This window comes from Homo sapiens, chromosome 12, assembly GCF_000001405.40.
Source record: "Homo sapiens chromosome 12, GRCh38.p14 Primary Assembly".
In the NCBI taxonomy this organism is placed as follows: domain Eukaryota; kingdom Metazoa; phylum Chordata; class Mammalia; order Primates; family Hominidae; genus Homo; species Homo sapiens.
In genome coordinates, this window is record NC_000012.12 from 130,475,995 (window position 1) to 130,497,335 (window position 21,341).

The 21,341-nt window shown below is 52.3% G+C and overlaps 1 protein-coding gene across 35 annotated transcripts in view, besides 2 other annotated features; it reads right to left on the minus strand.

Moving 5' to 3' along the window:
* RIMBP2 (RIMS binding protein 2) overlaps positions 1-21,341 on the minus strand; it is a 320,167-nt gene that overhangs the window by 79,862 nt on the left and 218,964 nt on the right. For all 35 annotated transcript variants that reach the window (NM_001351227.2, NM_001393621.1, XM_047428628.1 and 32 more), the window contains one exon: positions 2,918-3,022. In NM_001351227.2, coding sequence (NP_001338156.1) covers positions 2,918-3,019 — 102 coding nt within the window. In that variant the 5' untranslated portion in view covers positions 3,020-3,022. The remainder of the gene's footprint in view (positions 1-2,917; positions 3,023-21,341) is intronic.
* Positions 5,516-5,765: an enhancer, noted in NCBI's record as "active region_7343". NCBI's record gives its function as "activates an Ori minimal core promoter by ATAC-STARR-seq in GM12878 lymphoblastoid cells {active_cell/tissue: GM12878}" and the evidence as "EXISTENCE:reporter gene assay evidence [ECO:0000049][PMID:35858748]".
* Positions 6,316-6,916: an enhancer, noted in NCBI's record as "NANOG-H3K4me1 hESC enhancer chr12:130966855-130967455 (GRCh37/hg19 assembly coordinates)". NCBI's record gives its function as "activates a minimal SCP1, AML or CMV promoter by ChIP-STARR-seq in naive H9 embryonic stem cells {active_cell/tissue: H9 hESC(naive)}" and the evidence as "EXISTENCE:reporter gene assay evidence [ECO:0000049][PMID:30033119]".

Sequence of the window (21,341 nt, forward strand, 5' to 3'; positions counted from 1 at the left end):
GTGGTGCTGAAACCCATGCATCTATGTGAGGTCATGAGACAGTGAGTATAGACTGAGAAGGGATGTGACTTCAGGACTGAGTCTTAGAGTCACCTGTGATGTGTAGAGGGGCTGGTGTGGAGAAGGAAACCAGGAGAGGGTGGTATCCTTGGAGGCCATAAGCTCAAACTGGGCCTCCGGGTCAAAGAAAACGAGGACAGAGAACTACCCACTGGACCGTAAGCTCATGCATGGGTGACACTAACAAAAGCCACTTGTTGGGGGTGGGGTCCCGTGACGGCAAGTTCAAGAAAGAGCTGGGGTTGCAGAAAGAGAGAAGAGGGTCACTCCTTTGAGATGGCTCCACAGCCCTCTCATCAGAATCACCTTTGGGCCTTGGAGAGTCCAAAGACGACTGGTGACTTCTATCTTGGTAGGGGGATGAGGGCCAGTCTTCAGCTAATCCGTGCCTCATGGTGCAGGCACCACTGCCTGGTGGGGTAAGCACTCCAGCTCTGTGCCTCAGGCCCAAATTCAACCCCTGTTCCCTCCCTGGCTGCACCCCAGCTACCCGGCCTTCTTCCTCTTCCCTGGATGCGCTGGGCTGGTTCCCAAGGGGGCCTGTGTGTGCTGCTCCCTAACCCTTGCACACTCCTGCCCCAGCCCTCGGCGTGGTGGGTGTCATCTGCTCCTTGAACTGTCACCTGTATCTAAAGTCACGGCCCCGTCAATCCGCCACTCAAGCCTCTCAACTCCCTTCACCCCTTGCCATCATCTGGGCTTACTCGCTTTTTCACTGACTTGTTCGTCTTCCTTTTTTAGCCTGGGAGGGCAGAGCCGTGTCCCACTCGCAGCTGTGTTCCTGCTTCTGGAACAGCAGCTGAGTGGCTGCTTGGAGGGGCAGACGGCCGACCCCTGCTGAATGACGGTACGACGGAGCTGGTCACAAGTGCAGTGCAACGACCACCCACGTGGAAACTGAATGCAAAGATGAGCTCTGGAAAGAAGTCCCGGATCTCATTCCACTCAAGAGTCAGACTTCCTCTTCTCATGCTTAAAAACTACATCAAAGCCTCTAGAAATTACAAAATTGGCCCATTCATATTTCATCCAGTTTCTCTCCCTCTGCCCCTCGCCCCACTAGTGAAGCATCAGTGTGTCCAAAACAGAGACAATGGTGAGTGCGGGGGGATAAAGAACGCCAAGAGAACTGGACAGCACACAGAAGAGATCGTGGACGCGGAATAACAGAGTCAGTTCCAGGTCATTCTCCTTGGCATCAAATGCTTAGTAAATCTAACTCCAGGCTTCTAGAGAATGTTCTGTTGAGAGGAGACATCCTTTCCCCTTCCTGGACAGTCTCTGTGTTTCTACAGACTTATATCTGTCTCAGACGGTCCCCGCCTGGGGACGTGGCTTCTGGAGTGTGACGAATAAGTGCAGGTGCCATCAGGCGTCACCCGGCCACGGGAAAGGTCCTTGAGACATGGCAGGAGAACATAAGAGTAATATTCCTGCCCGTGTCCCAGCAATATCCCTTGCGGATAACATCTAATGAAATATTGCTGCTCCGGGTGCCTGCCACCTTATTATGACAGGTAATAAGGGCTGTGAAGTTCCCATCAGCGCTGGCTTAATGAAATCTATCCTTAATACGATCTCATGCTAAATGCTTAGAGAAATGGCATCAGAACTTATCTACCTGTTTCCACAAGCTCTGCTAATAAACTCTGGAGGAGAAACGCTGCTCCGGCAGATTCCTATCGCCCCCCAGGCTGGGTGAATGACTGTGAGCCCTTTATTTTGAGATCCAAGACCTGGATAAGCTGTCGGATGGATCGAGGGGCCACCTAGGGCAGAGGAGTGGCCCATCCCAGCCAGCACCGGGCGGGAGGCTGCAGACCAGCCAGCTGCACTCTGGCCACAGGGGTGGCTGCCCTGCCAGGAGGAGGAGAGGGCAGGGCTGGGTGGGGACACTGGGCTCTGGAAGGAAATGAGATGAGACCTGTTCACAGGTCCCCACCTTCTGATTTCTTCCTGGGGGCACCCCAAGCCCATAGGCTCCGGGAGCACCACCCTCCTACCTATCTGGAGAGAGACAGCAGGACCGTGGCTGAGGACTGGAGTGGGGTGAGGTTACCTTTCTCAGTCCCCAGACCCATCACAGGTGCCCAGGAGGTAAAAATCCCAAATCACTCAGTCCTTCCTTCCCTCCTTCCCTGGTGCCTCTCTCCTTTCTCTCCTGATTTCTTTTCCTTTCTGTCTTACTCATCTTGCCTTTTTCCTTTCTTACTGGGATCCGGCTATAAATATTGCTCTGCAACTCAGTTTTCTCACTTGATAACACATCATGCAACAGCCTCAAGACAGCAGAATCAAACCACCATGATCCTTTTCGCTGACATCACACGGCGCCTGGTGTGGATGGACCATGGTGCACACAGCCATCACCCTTAGGTGGGCATCAATTGGGTCCAGTCCCTGTCCCCACTGCCACACAGCAGCACTGCAAGAAAACAAAACTCCTTTTGAACTGGTTCCTGTACTCCTTGCAGGGCATCGTCCAGGATGGGGGTGGCAGGGTCACCTTCTGTGTGCCCTTTTAGTTTAAACGGATGCTGCACACTGCTTTTTCCAGAAGCGGAAGCAATTCACACCCTGCCAGCCATCTCTACGCATGTGTTTTTCCCGACAACCTCACCAGCATCAGAGGTTAGAGCTTTGCATCTGCTTTCGCGTTATAAAACATGAACACAGGTCTACTTAAGAAACACCACAGCAGGAAAGCAGAAATGACTCTGAATTCTTCTGTGCAAGCAGAGAGAGGGAGCGGCCTGGGAGCCAAGGCCGCAGGTCGGCCGCTCCACCACACCAGGGATCCCCGGCCCACCCGTGGACTCCCTGCCTCGCACGCCGCGCCCGGCTGCCCGCCGCTTACCTTCTGCAGAAGGTCAATTTCCTGCTGCTTGGCACTGAGAACAGCCAGGGCCTGGTCATGCTCCAACTGCAGCTGCTGCCGCCGTTCAGCCGCCTCTCGCATATGCTGTGGGGACAGAGAGAGGCCTGGCTGAGCAGGGCAGCCTGTGCCCATGGGCGTGCATCCTATACCCTGCACCAAGCTGGCTCTGACTCAGCCCGGTCACTCCAGAGCAGCCCCTCACCGCCCCACAGGGCACCCACCTCCGTGCTGCCAACAGGGCTCCTCCAGAGGCGGCACTCCCAATGCGGGAGCTATGACATAAACAAGCCCCCCACCTGCCACTTCTCCTCTGCAGGTTCCAAATGCAGCGAGCATTTGAGCAGAACTCTGTCCTCATGCAAATGTGACTTTCGTCTTTTTGCTTGTTTTGAAAAAGTGAATCTCCCTCCTGTGCCTTTTTTGCCCAGGTCCTTTGTATATAACAGCAAAGGCTTATTGATGCTGCCCTGTGTGCCCAGCACTGGTTCAGGGTTTTATCTGCATTTAAGTCATATCATCCCCATCATAAGCCTAGGAGGTAGGTTCTAGAAGTAGCCTCATTCTACAGAGAGGGAAACTGAGGCACAGGATGTCATCCTTGCCCATCGGGCAGCTGGGAAGTGGACGCCTGTTCAGAATGCAAACCCAGAGTCCGCACCCTCCCGGGAGCTTCCCGGCCTCGGGCCGAGTCCGCACCCTCCCGGGAGCTTCCCGACCTCGGGCTCTGGTCCTGACTGCCGACTCCAGTGAACCAGCGCACTCAGACCCAGGAGTCCAAATTCCTTCACTTACCCCTCTGGGAAAGTCGCAAGGTGGCCCCCATCAGCCAGGCCCATTTTCTGCAGCAGAGAGGACAGAGCCGGGTTCCTGGCTCTGTCCTCTCCCCCTGACAATCCGTCTGTCCTGCTTGGAGGGGCGGTGCTTAATCCCCAGTGCTCAGGGTTTAACTCTCACCTATTTGCCCTCTGCGGGCCCTTCCCTCCCCTCTGACGGGTCTCACGAGCCCAGAGTCACCACTGGGACCCTGACAGTGAGGACCAGGCCCCCAGACCCATGAAGCTCACAGCAGTGACCAGCCACGAACCCTGGCAGCCTGCAGGAGGAAACACATGGGAAATGACATTGGGTAGAAATGGCCACAGCGGGCGGGTGGGTAGTCACACTGGGAACAGTCACAGAAAACATTTCCTGGGGTCCCCAAGCCACTCCTGGGGGCTTGGAAAACCAGCTGCAAAATGCTAGAATTTCATTGTCATTTCCTTTCATACACACACACACACACACACACACACACACACACACACCTGTGGTAACTTCGTGGTCAACATTTTAAAATCTGGGTCTTTTATATAAAAGACCAGATTCCTTCAAAAATGGGAAGAGTTGGCCACGCATGCCTCCAGGAAAGGACTGAGAAGGGAGTGGGAGCTGCCCCTTCCGATGGCATATACCCCCGATGTCTGCGGCCCCACGGGCCTGCCCCCCATGTCCCCTGACATCCGAGGGCCACACAGATGACCCAGGTCCTAAAGCAAGTGGGTGTCTTGGCCCCAGCGAGCCATGGGGGACCCACACGCCTTCCTCCTGGGCTGGAACTGGTTGGTCATTTATTTTTTATTATTTTATTATTTTACAATTCCATTGATTTTTAGCCTTTTACTCATTTTTATTTATTTTTATTTTTTTGAGATGGAGTCTTGCTCTGTCACCCAGGCTGGAGTACAGTGGCAGGATCTTGGCTCACTGCAGCCTCCACCTCCTGGGTTCAAGCTACTCTCGTGCTTCAGCCTCCCTAGTAGCTGGGATTACAGGTGCCCACCACCATGCTGGGCTAATTTTTGTATTTTTAGTAGATACAGGGTTTTGCCATGTTGGCCAGGCTGGTCTGGAACTCCTGACCTCAGGCGATCCGCCTGCCTCGGCCTCCCAAAGTGCTGGGATTACAGGCGTGAGCCACCGCGCCCGACCACCTTTTACTCATTTTTATTTAGTTTTGGAGTCTTAAAGGCCTGTAGCCTTCGCAAGTCATGAGGTCGGACACACGCGTCCAAGAGAAGGTTAACGTGGTTTCCTGAGGCCGCTGCCAACTCAGCCTGAGCTGGAAAGAGGAGCCTGGCAGGGGGGAGGCGAGGGAGTCCCTGCTGAGACTGGCAAGCTGTGAGGGCGGGGGGCACCCAGGCTCAGGGGGAGGGGTGTGGCCCCTCGGGAGGAGGCAGGTGGTGAGGGCGGGGGCACCCAGGCTCAGGGGGAGGGGTGTGGCCCCGCAGGAGGAGGCAGACAGGCTGATTACATTCTTCTTGCCAGTTTTCCAAAGGTAGCCCTACTGCTACCTTTTTTGCTGCCTCTGAAAGCTCCTTTCTTCTGGGAAAGATCTTGAAACAGAACCACTTTAACTGAGGGTGGGGAAAGCCTCCACTTTTCATTCTGCAAAGCGCTGTGGTTGGTGGGATATTTTGTTTGTGTTTAAAAAGTGAAGTCTTCCTCCCGGCCCGTGTTTCAGGCACGGCAACCTCACGTGCTGGTTCATCTACATTTTTAAGCTGAATAAACTCGGCATCCTCTCTGCTGTCTCCAGAAGAGGCTCCCAGTGAACTCAGAAGCTGGAATTACCCTGCACCCCCACAGACATCTGGGGGTTTCACTGTTGCTATGGGAACTCTCACAAGAACCCGGGATCCGGAGAAAATGGAGTTCCCCAAAACATGAACAAAACCCCATGAAACACGGGTGTCGCGGTCAGTGGCCCTCGCCAGTTCACTCTGGGGCCAGATGGGCCCCAGGGAAACACCATGCTTGTATCTTCCCACGTTTACTCCAGCTCTGAGCCTGGGCAGGCCTGGCCCTCCTGGGAAGAAGCCCTGGGTATTTGCTGCACAGCCCTCCCGAGATCCGCCCTGACACACTGCTCCCCCCGCCCCGCTGGGCTGTCAGCCCATTTGGGCCTCGCCATTTCTAACGGTCTCTTTCCAAGAGCCTCAGTTTCCCCCCGACCCCCCAAGCCGCCACCACCACCACCACCCACCGCCCACCACCAGTTCACTGTGAGTGCAAACCAGCTGCATACATTGCAGGGCATTTTTAGGAGGACGGGGACAAGCCACCAAGACAAACTGACAGAGCCCTGGGGGATGCAGGGGATTCCCCGAGCTCCTGAGACGCTTTGGGAACTCTTCTCCAAACCCTGGCTGCCACCTCAGTGCGGTGTGGCTTTGCTCTGGTGTCAGGTTTCCCCATGAGGGTCCCAGAGGTCCTCAGGACGGACAGTCTCTGCAGACCCTCATGAGGCCCTCCGTGTGGGGCTTCCAGCTCCAGAGAGGACTATTTCTACTCCATTTATTCATTCATTGCTTCTTCTGGATATTGGTTCATCGGACTGGATTTATTGAGCACCTACTAGGTGCCAAGAAGCTGGGGACACAGAACAGGACAAACGTGTCTTCATGAGAGAACACCCCAGAGTGGGGGCACAGTGTGAAGGCAGATCGATGAAACGAGAAGGGCCCGAGTGTGGCACGGAGCAGGATGGAGGCACCTAAATGACATCTGTGGTCCTGGACTTCAGGAGTGGCCATTTCCTACATCCTAACACCAGCCTCAATCTGATACGAGGAGGAGATTTCAGCCAGATTCCACCAGGAGAACTCGCTCACTCAACTCACTCAACAAATACTTACCCAAGCACTTGTTTTGTGCCAGGCACCCTGCTGGCTTCTGAAGGCTACAGCAACGCAAAACAAAGCAAAACAAAACCAGCTCTCTTGGAGCTCACATTCTGCAGGGGAGGGGGCACACCTCATCCCAATACACCCATTGTGTGTGTACATGTGTCAGATTCTGCAGGGGAGGGGGCAGACCTCATCCCAATACACCCATTGTGTGTGTACATGTGTCAGATTCTGCAGGGGAGGGGGCAGACCTCATCCAAATACACCCATTGTGTGTGTACATGTGTCAGATTCTGCAGGGGAGGGGGCACACCTCATCCAAATACACCCATTGTGTGTGTACATGTGTCAGATTCTGCAGGGGAGGGGGCAGACCTCATCCAATTACACCCATTGTGTGTGTACATGTGTCAGATTCTGCAGGGGAGGGGGCAGACCTCATCCAAATACACCCACTGTGTGTGTACATGTGTCAGATTCTGCAGGGGAGGGGGCACACCTCATCCAAATACACCCATTGTGTGTGTACATGTGTCAGATTCTGCAGGGGAGGGGGCAGACCTCATCCAAATACACCCACTGTGTGTGTACATGTGTCAGATTCTGCAGGGGAGGGGGCAGACCTCATCCAAATACACCCACTGTGTGTGTACATGTGTCAGATTCTGCAGGGGAGGGGGCAGACCTCATCCAAATACGCCGATTGTGTGTGTACACGGGTCAGCAGTCCTAAGCACCATGGGGTCAGGCGGTCCTAAGTCCACAAATGCACGCACCTACTATGCAGCCACAAAAATTGTAAAAAATTAAAAATAAATAAATAAAAGGGGAGAAACAGAAAAAATAAACTGCTAAAAATATACTTTTACTTTTTATAAACAAAGGGGATGGGAGCTGCAGTCCTGCTGGGGGCTGGCCTGTCGGCTGAGAAGGCCAAGGAAGCCCCCCACCAAGATGGTGCTAAACAAAGGCTCACACCAGAGACAGAGCCCCACGCGGCTGTGGGTGGAAGGCGGGATACACAGTGCCCAGAGCCCCCACCCTCACCTACACACAGTGCCCAGAGCCCCCGTCCCCACCTAGACACAGTGCCCGGAGCCCCCATCCCTCACCTACACACAGTGCCCAGAGCCCCCGTCCCCACCTAGACACAGTGCCCGGAGCCCCCATCCCTCACCTACACACAGTGCCCGGAGCCCCCGTCCCCACCTAGATACGGTGCCCGGAGCCCCGACCCTCACCTACACACGGTGCCCGGAGCCCCCACCCTCACCTACACACAGTGCCCGGAGCCCCCGTCCCCACCTAGACACGGTGCCCGGAGCCCCTGTCCCCGCCTAGATGTGTCCCTGAGCCATGCCACTAACAGGGGCTGCGAGGGCTTCCGCGGCTCCTGGAAAGGCCCCAGAAGTTCCCCCAGGCACTGGCTTGCTGGCATGGACAATGTCCCATGGGAAGGATAGACTGGAGGCGAAACATCTCTCCAGAGTCTGCCGGCGACTGTCACTTAGGTGTCCTTGGCCGGAAGGAGCCCGATGCCCCCCGAAGTGGACCCCTGGCCCCATGTCGCATCCCAGCTGAAAGCCCCTCGGTGGGGAGTAAAGCGGCATGCTGTCACAGGGCCACCTGACTGCCTCTTGCCTCCTGATGCCGCTGCCACCACCATCTGCCTGCCTCTCATGCCCTGCTGTAACACCCTGGCTTTCGCGCTGTTTCTAAAGAGCAGACCAGTGCCCGCCTCTGGACCTTCACACGTGTTGCTCTCCCTGCTAGCCTGACTCTCACGTTCCAGCCTTTGCCCAGATGCCACTTCGCACTGAAGCCTGGTGGCCGCCCGGCCCCTCCTGGATACACCATGTTCTCCACCTGCCTTATTTTCCTCCTGAGCATCCTCATCCCCAGTGCACTGGCCGGCTCCCTTGCCTGCTATCTGCTCCTTCCCCTGGAACATGAGCAGGCACCTTGCCCCACTGTGTCCCTGTCCCCACAATGGGTCACTCGGCACAGATGCCAAATAATCAAACTGCCGCCTTCATGGCCTCTTGGAGCTCAGTCCCACTGCTGTCCCCACCACCCCCTTCTCCAGCCACATGGGCCTCCTCCCAGCCCCTGGAGCTCTCCACGCTGCCCACATCAGGGGCTGGCAGGGAAGGTTGGGGGAAAAGTGCTTCCAGCATTTCAGGCCAGCAAAAGCCATTAAAGAGCCTGAACACCTGGGCTCAAATCCCAGCTCTGATACTGGCCCGCTGTGTGGTCTTAGAGTAGTTACTTAACCTCTCTGTTCTCCATGTTCTTCTTTTGGATTAATTTTTCAACACTATTCTTTTTCAATTGGTTAGTGATTAGTGAAATAACTAATGTTGATTATTAATTAACACCCACTTCATAGAGGTGTTTTGAATTTTCCTTGGCATCTATTAAGTTCTCTGTGTTATGTTTTAGTCCCAAGAGGAGAAAACCCTTTCCCACTGGACGTGTGTAGCCCTGTGTGATGTCACTTAAACACCAGGTACAGGGTGGGAGGGAGGGACTCATGAGGCAACCAGGGCTGCACCAACAGGATGATGGACAGCTACCGCCGCATTGGTAAAATGACGGTGAGAAATCGGAATGTGGCTGCTGTCATTTATTAAGCACCTACTATATGCAGGGCACTATGCTTGCCCAGGCACTGTGTCATTTGAGGCTGAGGGTTGGGTGCTGTGGTCACTGCATCCCAGCAGAGCAACAGACTCAGGGAAGCTGAGCAAGGGCTAAAAGCCACAGCTGGAACATGGCCGATGAGAATGTCAGAACTCACAGCCAGTCTGCTCCCGGCCACTGCCCCACTTCTGGGTTGAGATGACTTACACCAGCCACTGCCATCTTGGAGCACTACGGGGGCCAGGGCAGAGAAGCAGCTTTCGACTTCCTCGCGGCCCACCTGGCCTGGGTGGCCGATTGTGCAGCTGCTTAATTCTGCCATTTTGGCTTAATTCTGGCTAATTTTGTGCTTCTCTTTATTTTGGAAGGGGGCACTGCCAAAGGCAGACTGTATCATCTTTATTTAGTTCTGGGAAGGAAGTTGTTAGCGAGAGGAGGGTGCCACCTTCCCTACCAGGACTCGCTAGGTAGATTCACCAGGCACCGAAACAGCTCCGGGCGTGGTCCTGCGGCCTCAGAGTCACTGAGGATAAAGGGGTGGCGGATGCTATGCTGGGCTCTTGCTTCGGGGTGCCAGTGAGATGAGGGTTTATAGATCAGATGGATGGAAACAAGTACAGGGAAGAAGTCTTTGCATTTCTACGGTTAATGAACCAAGTCCGTACAAAGCAGCTGTCAGAAAGGCGTGAGCGGGAGAAGCACTCGGCCCTCGAAGACAGCCTCAGTTTCATCACAGATGCCATGGCTGGGAGGACAAGGTTTGCTGGGGCTTGTTTTGGCTTCAGCATCTATCTCTCCAAATCTTACCTGTTTCTGCAAAGCCCTCATCCCCCTCCAGCCACTGCCCATGTATCTGCCTCCCATCTCACACGCTCTTCCAGCCCTTCCAGTCAGCCTCCCTCCTGTCACTCGGCTGAGATTCTCCCACTAAGGCAGCCGAGGAGTCCCTGCAGCCCGAACCCATGGCCACTTTCGTGCCCTGACTGGACCAAATCCCTCAGCAGCACCCGACACCAGGGCTGCTCCTCCTGGACATGCCCTGGACTCTGGCCCCCGTGGGGCGCGCTGACCTGGTCTCTCCCCCTGACCTCTGCAATGACCTCCCGCTGATCTCTAAATCCTGGAGGGGCCACGGCTCTATTTATACCATTCCTTAGGTGATCTTAGCCAGCTTTGAGGTTTTAATTGCCACATAATTCCAAATGAACCCTTCATCCCCGTCCCCCGCCCCCCCGCCACTCATACCCAACTGCCTACTCATTATCCCCACATGGATGTACAGGAGGAAGCTCAAATTTAGCCTGTCCGAAATAGAATTCTTGATTTTCTTCCTCAAACAAGTTCCCTCCCCAAGCTGTGCCATCTCGGCCAAGGACACCATCATCCCCTCAGCTCCTCCAGATGCAAAGCTGACAGTCATTCTTGACTTCCTGCCCCCTTTCCCGCCTTGTTCAACATCCAGATCTTTGAGAAAAAAAAAAACCTCCCAATTTAAAAAAATGTGCACCCAAACTCCCCCCACCCATGTCTGCCGTTCTCTCCTGTGTCCAACGCTGCCACCTCATCTCTCCCCTAGACTATGGTAGACTACGGCAGAAGAGCCCTTTCTGCCCCGAGACAGCTCCTCCTCTCCCCTGGACCATAACCAGCTCCTCAGAGCCCTTTCTGCCCCGAGACAGCTCCTCCAGAGCCACTGGCTGCACCAGAGATTGCCCCACAGCCATTCTCCTTCAAGAGCACAAAGGCTGCCAACTGCACCGGGAACAAAATCCAGACTCCTGGCTGCAGCCAACAGGCTCCTCTGTGATCCAGCCTCTTCTCTGCCCTCACCTCTCACCTCTGCCCCTTCCTCACTGTGCTTTTGCCACACTGGCTTCGCTCAGTTCCATGATCACGTCAAGGTCATCCCCAACTCCAGGTCTTAGCGAGTGCCATTCCTGCTGTCCGACATGCTTGTCCCTGCATCACCACGTGGCCAGCCCTTCACGGCGTGATGGGGTTTAGGATGTGTTCCCTCCAAACCTCAGGTTGAAATGTGACCCCTGTGTTGGAGGTGGGGCCTGGTGGGAGGTGTCTGGGTCACGGGGGCATAGCCCTCATGAATAGCTTGGTGCCCTCCCCATAGCGATAAGTGAGTTCTTGCTCTGAGTTCACTCGAGAGCTGGTTGTTTAAGGGAGCCTGGCTCCTCCTCCCTGTCTCTTGCTACCTTTCTCACCATGTGATGCACCTGCTCCCACTTTGCCTTCTGCCATGTTTGGAAGCTTCCTGAGGCCTCACCAGAAGCTGAGCAGATGCTGGTGCCATGCTTGTACAGCCTGCAGAACTGTGAGATAAATTCGCTTCTTTTCTTTACAAAATACCCAGTCTCAGGTATTTCTTTATAACAACACAAAACGGACAAAGACATGGCAAGTGTCCTGACCAGTGACCAGAGATTATTTTATTTACGTGTTTATTCTATGTCATCCTTTCCATCCCACTCCCTACCCTTGTCCATGAGAACCACAGGATCACAGGACTTGTTTCCCTGTCTACTGGTGCACCCCCGGCCCAGAACAGTCTCTGACACATGGTGAGGCAGAATCAATGACAGCAAAGGTGAGGCCTCTCGCCTAAAACATCTGTCCCACGCCCCCAGCCCACACTCCCCTCTCCATCCCTCACAGCCTCCCACATGACTCTGCAGCAATGCTGTAACCTGCTTGGTACCGTTCTAATTCCATGTAATTCTCACTTTCTCAACTGGACTAGAAATGGCTCCATTTCCGTGTGTGCACTCCACAGGCAACAGGAGTCTAATTAACATTTTCTAAGTGGAATTAAAGCAATGATTTTGAGTGGAGGATTCATCCTGTGGCTGTCTAGAAACTAGACTTTAACACTTGAGGAGCCTAGAGAAGATTGGATCCTCACTACCAAAGATTCCACATTTCACCAAACCCACAGTCAAAACTGTGAACCAGAGACATAAGCTGGTTCTCCTGGAGGCCATCACACTGGCGGAGTTAGTCACGCAGCTATAATAAAACATCTCTCGGAGATGGGCTTTGAGACTGATGAGGGTAGAGTGAAGTGGATGGCGAAAAAAAAGTTTAAGCCAAAAATAGGAGAGATATTGGCTGCAAAGGCTGAAATTCGTGGTGTTAGGTGGATGGTAGGGGAAAAGATAGCTCAGTCAGGGGGTGGTGGGGGCCGTAAGTTTAATATTAGTGAGGTCTACGAACCAGCCAAAAAAAAGAGAAATGGACAAGGCTCACAAACACACGGACATGCTAAATATATCCATCCATCCTGGCATGAGGACATACTGATTCATTCTGCACAGCGTTACTTTTCTAAATGTAGCCAGTGTGCATGTCTCTGTTGAAACATCTATAGAAAAATCAGTGTTGCAAGGCTGAGATATTAATCAATGTTTCTTTCTATCACTAACCCTCTATTTCTCCTCCATTCCCCTCCCACTTCCCATCCTGAGGGCTCCATTCCATGCTCACTGCCTCAGGGAGGATGAGAGATGGGTCAGGGAAGAGCAGAAACTGGGGACTCCCCTGGGCTTTGGTCTGCAGAGATAAGGGGAATCAAGAAGACAGCATACAGAGGGGTTACTGTGAGAAACTGAGACTAGATTTCCCTTCTAATCTGCAGAAATATATTGCTTCACCAGAGGCAGACAAATTAGCTGAGAAGAACCGATGCATGTATAGACACTGGTGGATGGGCTCTTGGCTCTGCTTTCTGGAAAGTTCCAGAGAGCTGACTCCTACAGAATTCACGGCTAGCATGGGGAGTTGAGAAAATGGAGCTTAAACAGCCTGGCAGGGATTTCTGAACGACCCTGGGATAGCTAAGAGCCCACGTGAATGCATACAACTAAACAATTAAATTCTTTCATGTCTTATATTTTACAATGTCTTCAAGTAACTTTTACCCTTGTCTCTGAAATAATGGAAACAACTGGTAGACGGTGGCTTGTCTACTTTTACAGCCTACATATAAGCAATACGCATCGGATAGAATGGTGGGAATCTGTGTGTGTACGCCTGGATGAGGGCAGGATGGAATCCCACAACATCTTGGCTTTGGGTCACCCTGCACCCCAGCCTAGATCTCACCTTGGTGTGCCAATCAACTGCCTCAGGTCTCTCAGATCTACTCTCTCTCCTTCTCTTGTTTTGCTCTGTATCAGAAAGAGCTACACTTCCCAGACGCCCTCGCCCTCTGCTTCTGGGTGGTCAGTCAACAGGCAGCATCGGCGGGAGGGAAGCCAGGGATTTCTACCCCTCTCTCTGCCTCTCGAGCTGTCTCCTGTAGAGGCTCCGTCTCCTGTAGAGGCTCCATCTCCTGTCTCTAACCCACGGTCTCTGCTCCTGACTCTGAGATCATCATCACCCCCACTGTCCCTTCAGCCTTAGAGGTGATGCCAGGTTCACAATGCAGCCATCTGGCTTCTTAGTTCTTCCACCCTGTGTGTCACAATCCCCTGTATTAATGTCCCTCCATTTGAAATACCTTGGCTGGCTCCTGCTTTTTGACTGAAGTCTGACCGGTAGACTGAAGGAAAAGGATGAAGCCAACTCCAAATTGATGACACATTTCTATCACTCTTTCAAAATGCGTGTCTTAAAAGTGAATTAAGCACTTTGGGAGGCCAAGGAGGGTGGATCACAAGGTCAGGAGATCGAGACCATCCTGGCCAACATGGTGAAACCCCGTCTCTACTAAAATACAAAAAATTAGCCAGGCATGGTGGCAGGCACCTGTAGTTCCAGCTATTCGGGAGGCTGAGGCAAGAGAATCGCTTGAACCCGGGAGGCGGAGGTTGCAGTGAGCCGAGACTGCACCACTGCACTCCAGCCTGGGTGACAGAGCGAGACTCTGTCTCAAAAAAAAAAAAAAAAAAAGATAAAAAAGAAAAGTGAATTAAGTAATGTTGAGGGGGTTGTTCTGTTTCTTTCACTTGAGTTGTTGCAACTGGACTCAAACCTGCTTCACAGACTTACTGTGACAATTCTAAGTTAAAAAAAAAACTCACGGAAATGTTGATTTTGCTGACCACCTACAAAGCAGAAAATAAATCTGTCCAGGAAAATGTACAATCTGATAATGTTTTTGTTTACTTATCTACAATTTAGCTTGGATTTTTTACTATCCCTTAGTTTGCTTGAAATTTTCCTATTAAAAAATAAATGGTTTTGATGCTTCTTCCCAACTAGGAAAGCTTGTTCTGGTCCCAGCTGTCAGACAATCCCGGGCTGATAGCTACTTTAATGAATCAGCAGCAGAAGTATAAATCGGGGTACAGGGAGATGGGGGTGAAGATAGAGGTGCTTGGTTTACCTCAAGAGTTATAACATCACGGGGCAAAGGCAGGTTCGGTAAGTTCCAGCTGCCATTTCTCTCCAAGGGCCAGGAAACAACATCTTAAGATAAAAGTCACTGGCCATAAACAACCTTATTCAAGGAAAATAATCTCGTCTGCAGGGCACCTGTGGTGTGAAGGCTGAGACCTGTGAGTTCAGCAACAGAATCGGCCAAGTGGGGGCTGCAGTAAACCCCTCGGCTTACCGGCCAGTCCACAGGACTAAAAGAGAGGCCAAATGCCAACTCACCCCGGAACTCAGCCACACCATAAAAGAGGGAGATGTGGTCAGAGTTCAGTGGGAGGGTGGGGAGCGAAGTGGGAAGCGGTCTACACAGCAGCTCCCGAGCCCCCTGTGTGTAGCAACAATCAAAACCCACGTTAGTGTTTATCACAGATCACCACCTACAAATGGTGGGAAAATGGTGTTCTTATTCCGGTATGCACATTGCTGGCACAGTTTTCCCAGAGAACCTGCCTGAGACCCAGCCCAGCTCCAGACATCAGCCTCCACATGCTCACCTAAACACATCTGAGGATTACTAAGTTCTAGAAGTACTGTTATGCTAAGTACTGAACACACATCACCCATTTAATCGGCACAACAACGCTTGAAGCAGGTGATATTTTTATTCCCATTTACAGAGAAGGAAACCAAGGCCCAGAGCGGTTAAGCAACGTGTTCAAGTTTGCCCAGCTAGGCCAGGCTCAAGCCAGGATTTGCACCTAGCGAGCCCAGCTCACTCTCCCTCCACTGTCTCTGCTCTCTGCTGTCTAAGAGGCCTCCTCCAGGACCTCTCTCATATTTGCGGGATGTGCTGATGTTTGCTGGGACTCTCTTCAAGGCAGTACACATGAGAACCTTTTCTGCAGTGCCCTGAAGTCACTCCGCCTCCTTCCTTCCAGAGTTCTCAGGCCACCACGCACACTGTTCGTGCCTCTGTCACAGAGCCATCTGCACTTCTGGGGGGCAATCGCACTTTCCTTCTCACAACTTCCACAAGCAGCTAGGAGTCTCTCGGTTCCTGGGAGTGCAAGGGGCCCAAGGATTCCCAAAGGGAGTCTGAAAACCTCGGGTTTCGCCCAGAGACAGAATCCCACCACACCCTGACACCGGGCTTCCGCCTCCCCGCGCAGAGACCTTCCCAGGGCACGTGCTGTCATTCATGGGAAGGCTTCACATCTGAAAAGTACTCAGGATTATGCGCCACGGCCAAAACTGCCTGTCTGAAACGCTCTGCCTGTGGCAGGATTTATTTTTAAAGCAGCGATATTTATAGCTGACTGTCGACATTCACGCCAGCACTTAAGCTGCCTACAAATGTCAGGGTGCCGCTATCCCAGGGAAAAGCTCGGATGTGACACGGAACGAACGAACCTGAAGCAAACTGAATTATCTCCTCAACGTCAGATCAAACGTGGACTTGTCCTGTGCTTGGATGCTGCCTTGCCTGAGCGAAGAAATTAAGGAAAAACCAATTTCCCCAAATAGGAGCTAACGGTGACACTTTGAATGTCACATTAGTGGGATCTGCTACGCGTGGTAGAAATAATGAAGCATTTATGTACACACGATTTGCTTTCACCCAGCACCTGGCAGAAGGAATGCAAGCACTCACAGAACCCACGTCTTCAAAAGCAAGAAAGACAAGGTCTTTAAAGCTGTTTGTTTTCATGGCATCACGACTGTCTGTCCTAGTCACAGAAGTCACACTCATTAAGAATGAGAATGTGTGTGAAAAACATTCATGTGAATTCAGTGAGGTCTATTTCAGCCCAAGTATTTTAGTTTCTCAAACTGGGAAAAAAAATGGATCCTTAGGAGTTCCTTTGGGGGAAAAAAAAAGAGAGAGAGAGAGAGAAAGATTTTCCTGAGTGTTGATTGGTCTTTGATCCTAAAGCCTCCTTCCTTCTCCTCTGGCCCTGATGAATCCTAGAGATGCAGGGGTGGCAACATTCATCCATGCTGCTTTGGGAGGGTTATTTTTCTCACACACAGTTTCTGTCCTGCCCCAGTGGCTCCCGGCTGTGAGCCCGGGATTTTGGCCAGCCAAGTAGAGGGGATCTTATCAGCTGGACCTGTGTTCAATGCCATTTCCAACACGTACAGGCTGTGTGCCCTGGGGTGAGTTAGGTACCTCTCTGAACCTCAGGTTCCACGTTTATTGAATGGCAACAAAAAATACCGTCCTTCCTAGGTTGTCGCAAGAATGAGATTAAATGTTAGATTCAAAGGGATCTGCACAGAACCAGGTGCGGCAGCTCACGCCTGTAATCCCAGCACTTTGGGAGGCCGAGGCGGGTGGATTGCTTGAGTCCAGAAGTTTGAGACCAGCCTAGGCAATATGGCAAAACCCCATATCTGCTAAAAATACAAAAAATTAGCCAAATGTGGTGGCAAACACCTGTAGTCCCAGCTATTCAGGGGACTGGGGCTCAGGCAGGAGGATGGCTTGGGCGCAGGAGGCGGAGGCTGCAGTGAGCCTAGATAACGCACTGCACTCCAGCCTGGGTGAGAGAGTGAGATCGTAGCTCAAAAAACCAAAACAAAACAAAAAAACAAAGTGACCTGCACAGGAATTAAGTTTCATGTAAATATCACTAAGTTTTATTTAGGTCTGCCACTCGATTTGGCTTCTGTTAGTTCCCTCCCATTTTCATTATTTGATCTCCCCTTTCCTGCCTTCTTTTTGTTTTTTGTTGTTTCTTTTTGTTCGTTTTGTTTTGTTTTTGAGATGGAATCTCGCTCTGTTGCCCAGGCTGGAGTGCAATGGCGTGATCTCGGCTCACTGCAACCTCCACCTCCTGAGTTCAAGCAATTCTCATGCTTCAGCTTCCTGAGTAGCTGGGATTACAGGCGTGTACCACCACGCCTGGTTAATTTTTGTATTTTTAGTAGAGACGGGGTTTCAGCATGTTGGCCAGGCTGGTCTCAAACTCCTGACCTCAGGTGATCTGCCTGCCTCAACCTCCCAAAGTGCTGGGATTCCAGGCGGGAGCCACCATGCCCAGCCTGGTTTTCAATTTTAATGTCTCCATGGAGTGCTGTTCTGTATGTTTTTATGTCACTCCTAGTGGTTGCCCCAGGGAACTCAATATACATATTTAAATTTAAACAATCTACTCAGAATTAAAACTTGCCATTCCAAGTGGAATTCTTACATGCTCCATCTATATACCTGAAACCCCATCACAGTGTTCTACATTTTCGTTGAAGTGTCATTTATGTACATGAAAGAGTCTACCAGGAGAAAAACAGCCTGGTCTAGCCTGTTACATTTACCCGGATATCCGCCCTTTCTGTTTCTCTCCTCTGTCCAGTGTTTCCTGAGCACCAACTACGTCCAGGTGGCCCGACAGGCACTGGAGACACAGTGGACACAAAGCTGAGAGGCCCTGGCTTGTGTGGGGCTGACATCCCAGTGGGAAAGACAAGCGTTGATCGGGTGAGGATATAAAAATGCAAGCTTGTGATGCATGGGTAAACTGAGGCTCACGGAGATGACTCAGCCCCTTGTGAGTACATCCCACACTCTGGGACAGAGCGCTCATTCTGTATCACTGCGCTGGGGACAGGGACAGAGCGGTTCAGAAGGACAGACCCCGCCCTGGCCCTCCTGGAGCCCACTCCACACCCCAGCAAGCATCAGGCCTAGAAGTTGGCACCTCCCCGCCACCACGGTTCTCCCTGCACTGCTCTGCCCCCGCCTCCACAGTCTCACGGTAAGATGGTGGATGCAAACGTGCTTTGAAAGATGCAAAGCACAGTGGCTCATACCTGTAATCCCAGCACTTTAGGAGGCCAAGGCAGGCAGATCACCCGAGGTCAAGAGTTCGAGACCAGCCTGGCCAACATGCTGAAACCCCGTCTCTACTCAAAATACAAAAATTAGCCAGGCATGGTGGCAGGCACCTGTAATCCCAGCTACTCAGGAAGCTGAAGAGGGAGAATCGCTTGAACCCAGGAGGCAGAGTTTGCAGTGAACTGAGATTGCCCCACTGCACTCCAGCCTGGGCAACAGAGTGAAACCCTGTCTCAAAAAAAAAAAAAGAAAGAAAAGAAAAGAAAGAGCAAAGTAGGAGTCAGGTAACCCACGGAGGCCTCCAGGACCCTGCACTCCAGCCCTGTGTGCTGGTTACTCAGGACACACCCTCTTCCCTGCTGTCCAGAGCACTTGGCCTTATGTGGGAAAAGGATGCATTTGTGACCGCTGGGTCACAAAGTACCACAACTGGCACTTCTGCTTAAGACAATGGAAAGTGTCCTCTCACAGCCCTGGAGCACAGAAGGCTGAAATCCAGGTGTCGGCAGGGCCGGATCCTCTCGTGGAACCTCTGAGGGAGAAGCCGCCCCATGCCCCGCTCCAGCTGCTGGCGTGGCCACGATGCTTGGTGATCTTTGACCAGAAGACACCTCACTCCCATCCCCTTGGGTGTCTCTGTGCCTCTTCTTCTTATAAGGACAACAGTCCTTGGGTTTAGGGCCTGCCCTACTCCAAGATGACCTTATATTAATGACATCTGGACAGACTCATTTTCAAATAAGGTCATATTCACAGATACATAGATTTAGGACTTGGGCGTCATTTGGGGGAACACAGCTGGCCCTCTACATGCCCTGAAATGATGAGGGGGGCTGCTTCACTTGCTCCCCATCTGCCTGGATTCATGCCTCTGGACACCTGCCCCAGACCAAGCCATCAGCCACGCTGGTACATGCCCTAGTGGCTCCCGCCTCAGTGCTGCCCGTTGTCTCCTCTTGCCCCTGTGAGATTTCCCCAGGGATGTTGCTTGGTCAGGCCACTGTCATCACGTGGGCCTCAGCTGAAGTGTCACCCCCTAACAGACATGTGCAGGGTGCCCTGCGCTCCCCTCTCCCTCCAGGTCACCCTGGCTCATCACCGTCTTCCTCCGTCTCTGAAATTCTTATCTATTTGCTGGATGACCTGATTTTTTTTCTGAGCTCCTCCCACCCCAGTAGAAGGTAAGTTTCATGAAAACAAAAATAACCTTGGACTTGCTCCTCGTTTTACTCCAAGCATCTGGCATGGTACCTGGCTATCCTTCTGTCTATTCTAGTAGATTCCTTTGAGGGTGTATATCAATGAAATTGCTCACGGTATTAGCAATTCTTGATCACTAACCTCTCCAGCACCAGCCACTATGTTAGATCACTGGGCACATTCTATGCTTTGAACCCTTACATCTAGAAAGGTACTTTATGGCCACTTTAAAGATGAGAGAACACCCCGGTTCTCAGAAATTAGTTAGCTTGATCACACGTAAACAACTAGTTAATCATCAAATTCAAATTTGAACTCAGACTGGTCTAACTAAAAGCCCAAAGTCTTTGAATTAGGTCATGCTACTGAGATCAACGGGAACGTCCCCCTAGGGTGGGTGATGATTCTGCCGCTGACTCATTGGACCTAAACTGTAAAGCATTGTGGACCACGGCAGAGAGTACGTCCGTGCCTGTAGCCATGTGATACGGTTTGGCTGTGCCCCACCCAAATCTCATCTTGAATAGTAACTCCAGTAATTCCCATGTCTTGTGGGAGGGACCTGGTGGGAGATAATTGGATCATGGGGGCGGTGTCCCCCACACTGTTCTGTGGTAGTTAATAAATCTCACAAGATCTGAAGGTTTTATCAGTGGAAACCCCTTTCTCTTGATTCTCATTCCCTTCTCTTCTCTTGCCTGCTCCCACGTGACACATGACTTTCACCTACCACCATGATTGTGAGGCCTCCCCAGCCACATAGAATGGTGAGTCCATTAAACCTCTTTCCTGTATAAATTACCCAGTCTCGAGTATGTCTTTATTAGCAGCATGAAAAAGGACTAAACCACCATCTCACTGTCCTCACTCCGGTCTCAGCAGCCCTGCTGAGCAGCTCTGGGGTAGAGGAGGCTGCGAGGGGTGAGGCTCCATCCACTTCCTGCAGGAGGGATGCTTCTGTCCACGGGAGACCAGCACACAGTGATACCTCATGAAAGGCCACGTTCCCATCACCCTGAGCCCCCTTCTATGTCGGGCCCCCAGCAGCTATGGCGCTGGGCAGGCCCGCTCCCCAGAAAGTGACCACATGATGGTTTCCTGCCTGTGATGGCCTCCTTCAGGCACACCTTTCTCTCACCTGCAGGCCACCCAGAGGAGCCAAGGAGGACCGCACACTTCTCTGCACACTGGGACTGCTGTCCTCTCCCTGAGGAGTGGGACCCTCAAGTTGTTCTGCCCAGGCCATCAGACCATGACTGCCCCGATGTCACTGAGCAGAGTACAGAGAGACTGGGATGTGTATACACTGGGGGCTTAAAACAACAGCAACCCATCCTCTCATGCCCTGGAGGCCGGAAGTCTTCAGTCGAGGTGTGGACAGGGCCATGTACCCTCCGAAAGCTCCAGGGCAGGCTCTTCCCCATCTTGCCAGGCTCCTGGGCGCTCCATGGCTCTGATCTCTGCCTCCATCCACACGTGGCTTCCTCCCTGAGCGTCTGTGTCTCTATCCAAACTCCCCTCTCCTTTCTTTCCAAAGCCTGTCACTGAACGAGGGCCCTCCCTGATGTGCGACCGCACCTTCACCTAGTTACATCTCCAAACACACTATTTCCAAATTAGGCCCCGCGCCCCAGTTCTGGGTGGACATGACTGTGGGGAGGCTGATTGAATCTACCCCTCTGTCCAGAAGCTTCTCACCTGCCTTCTGCTCCCTGGGCTCCGTAATCACTGA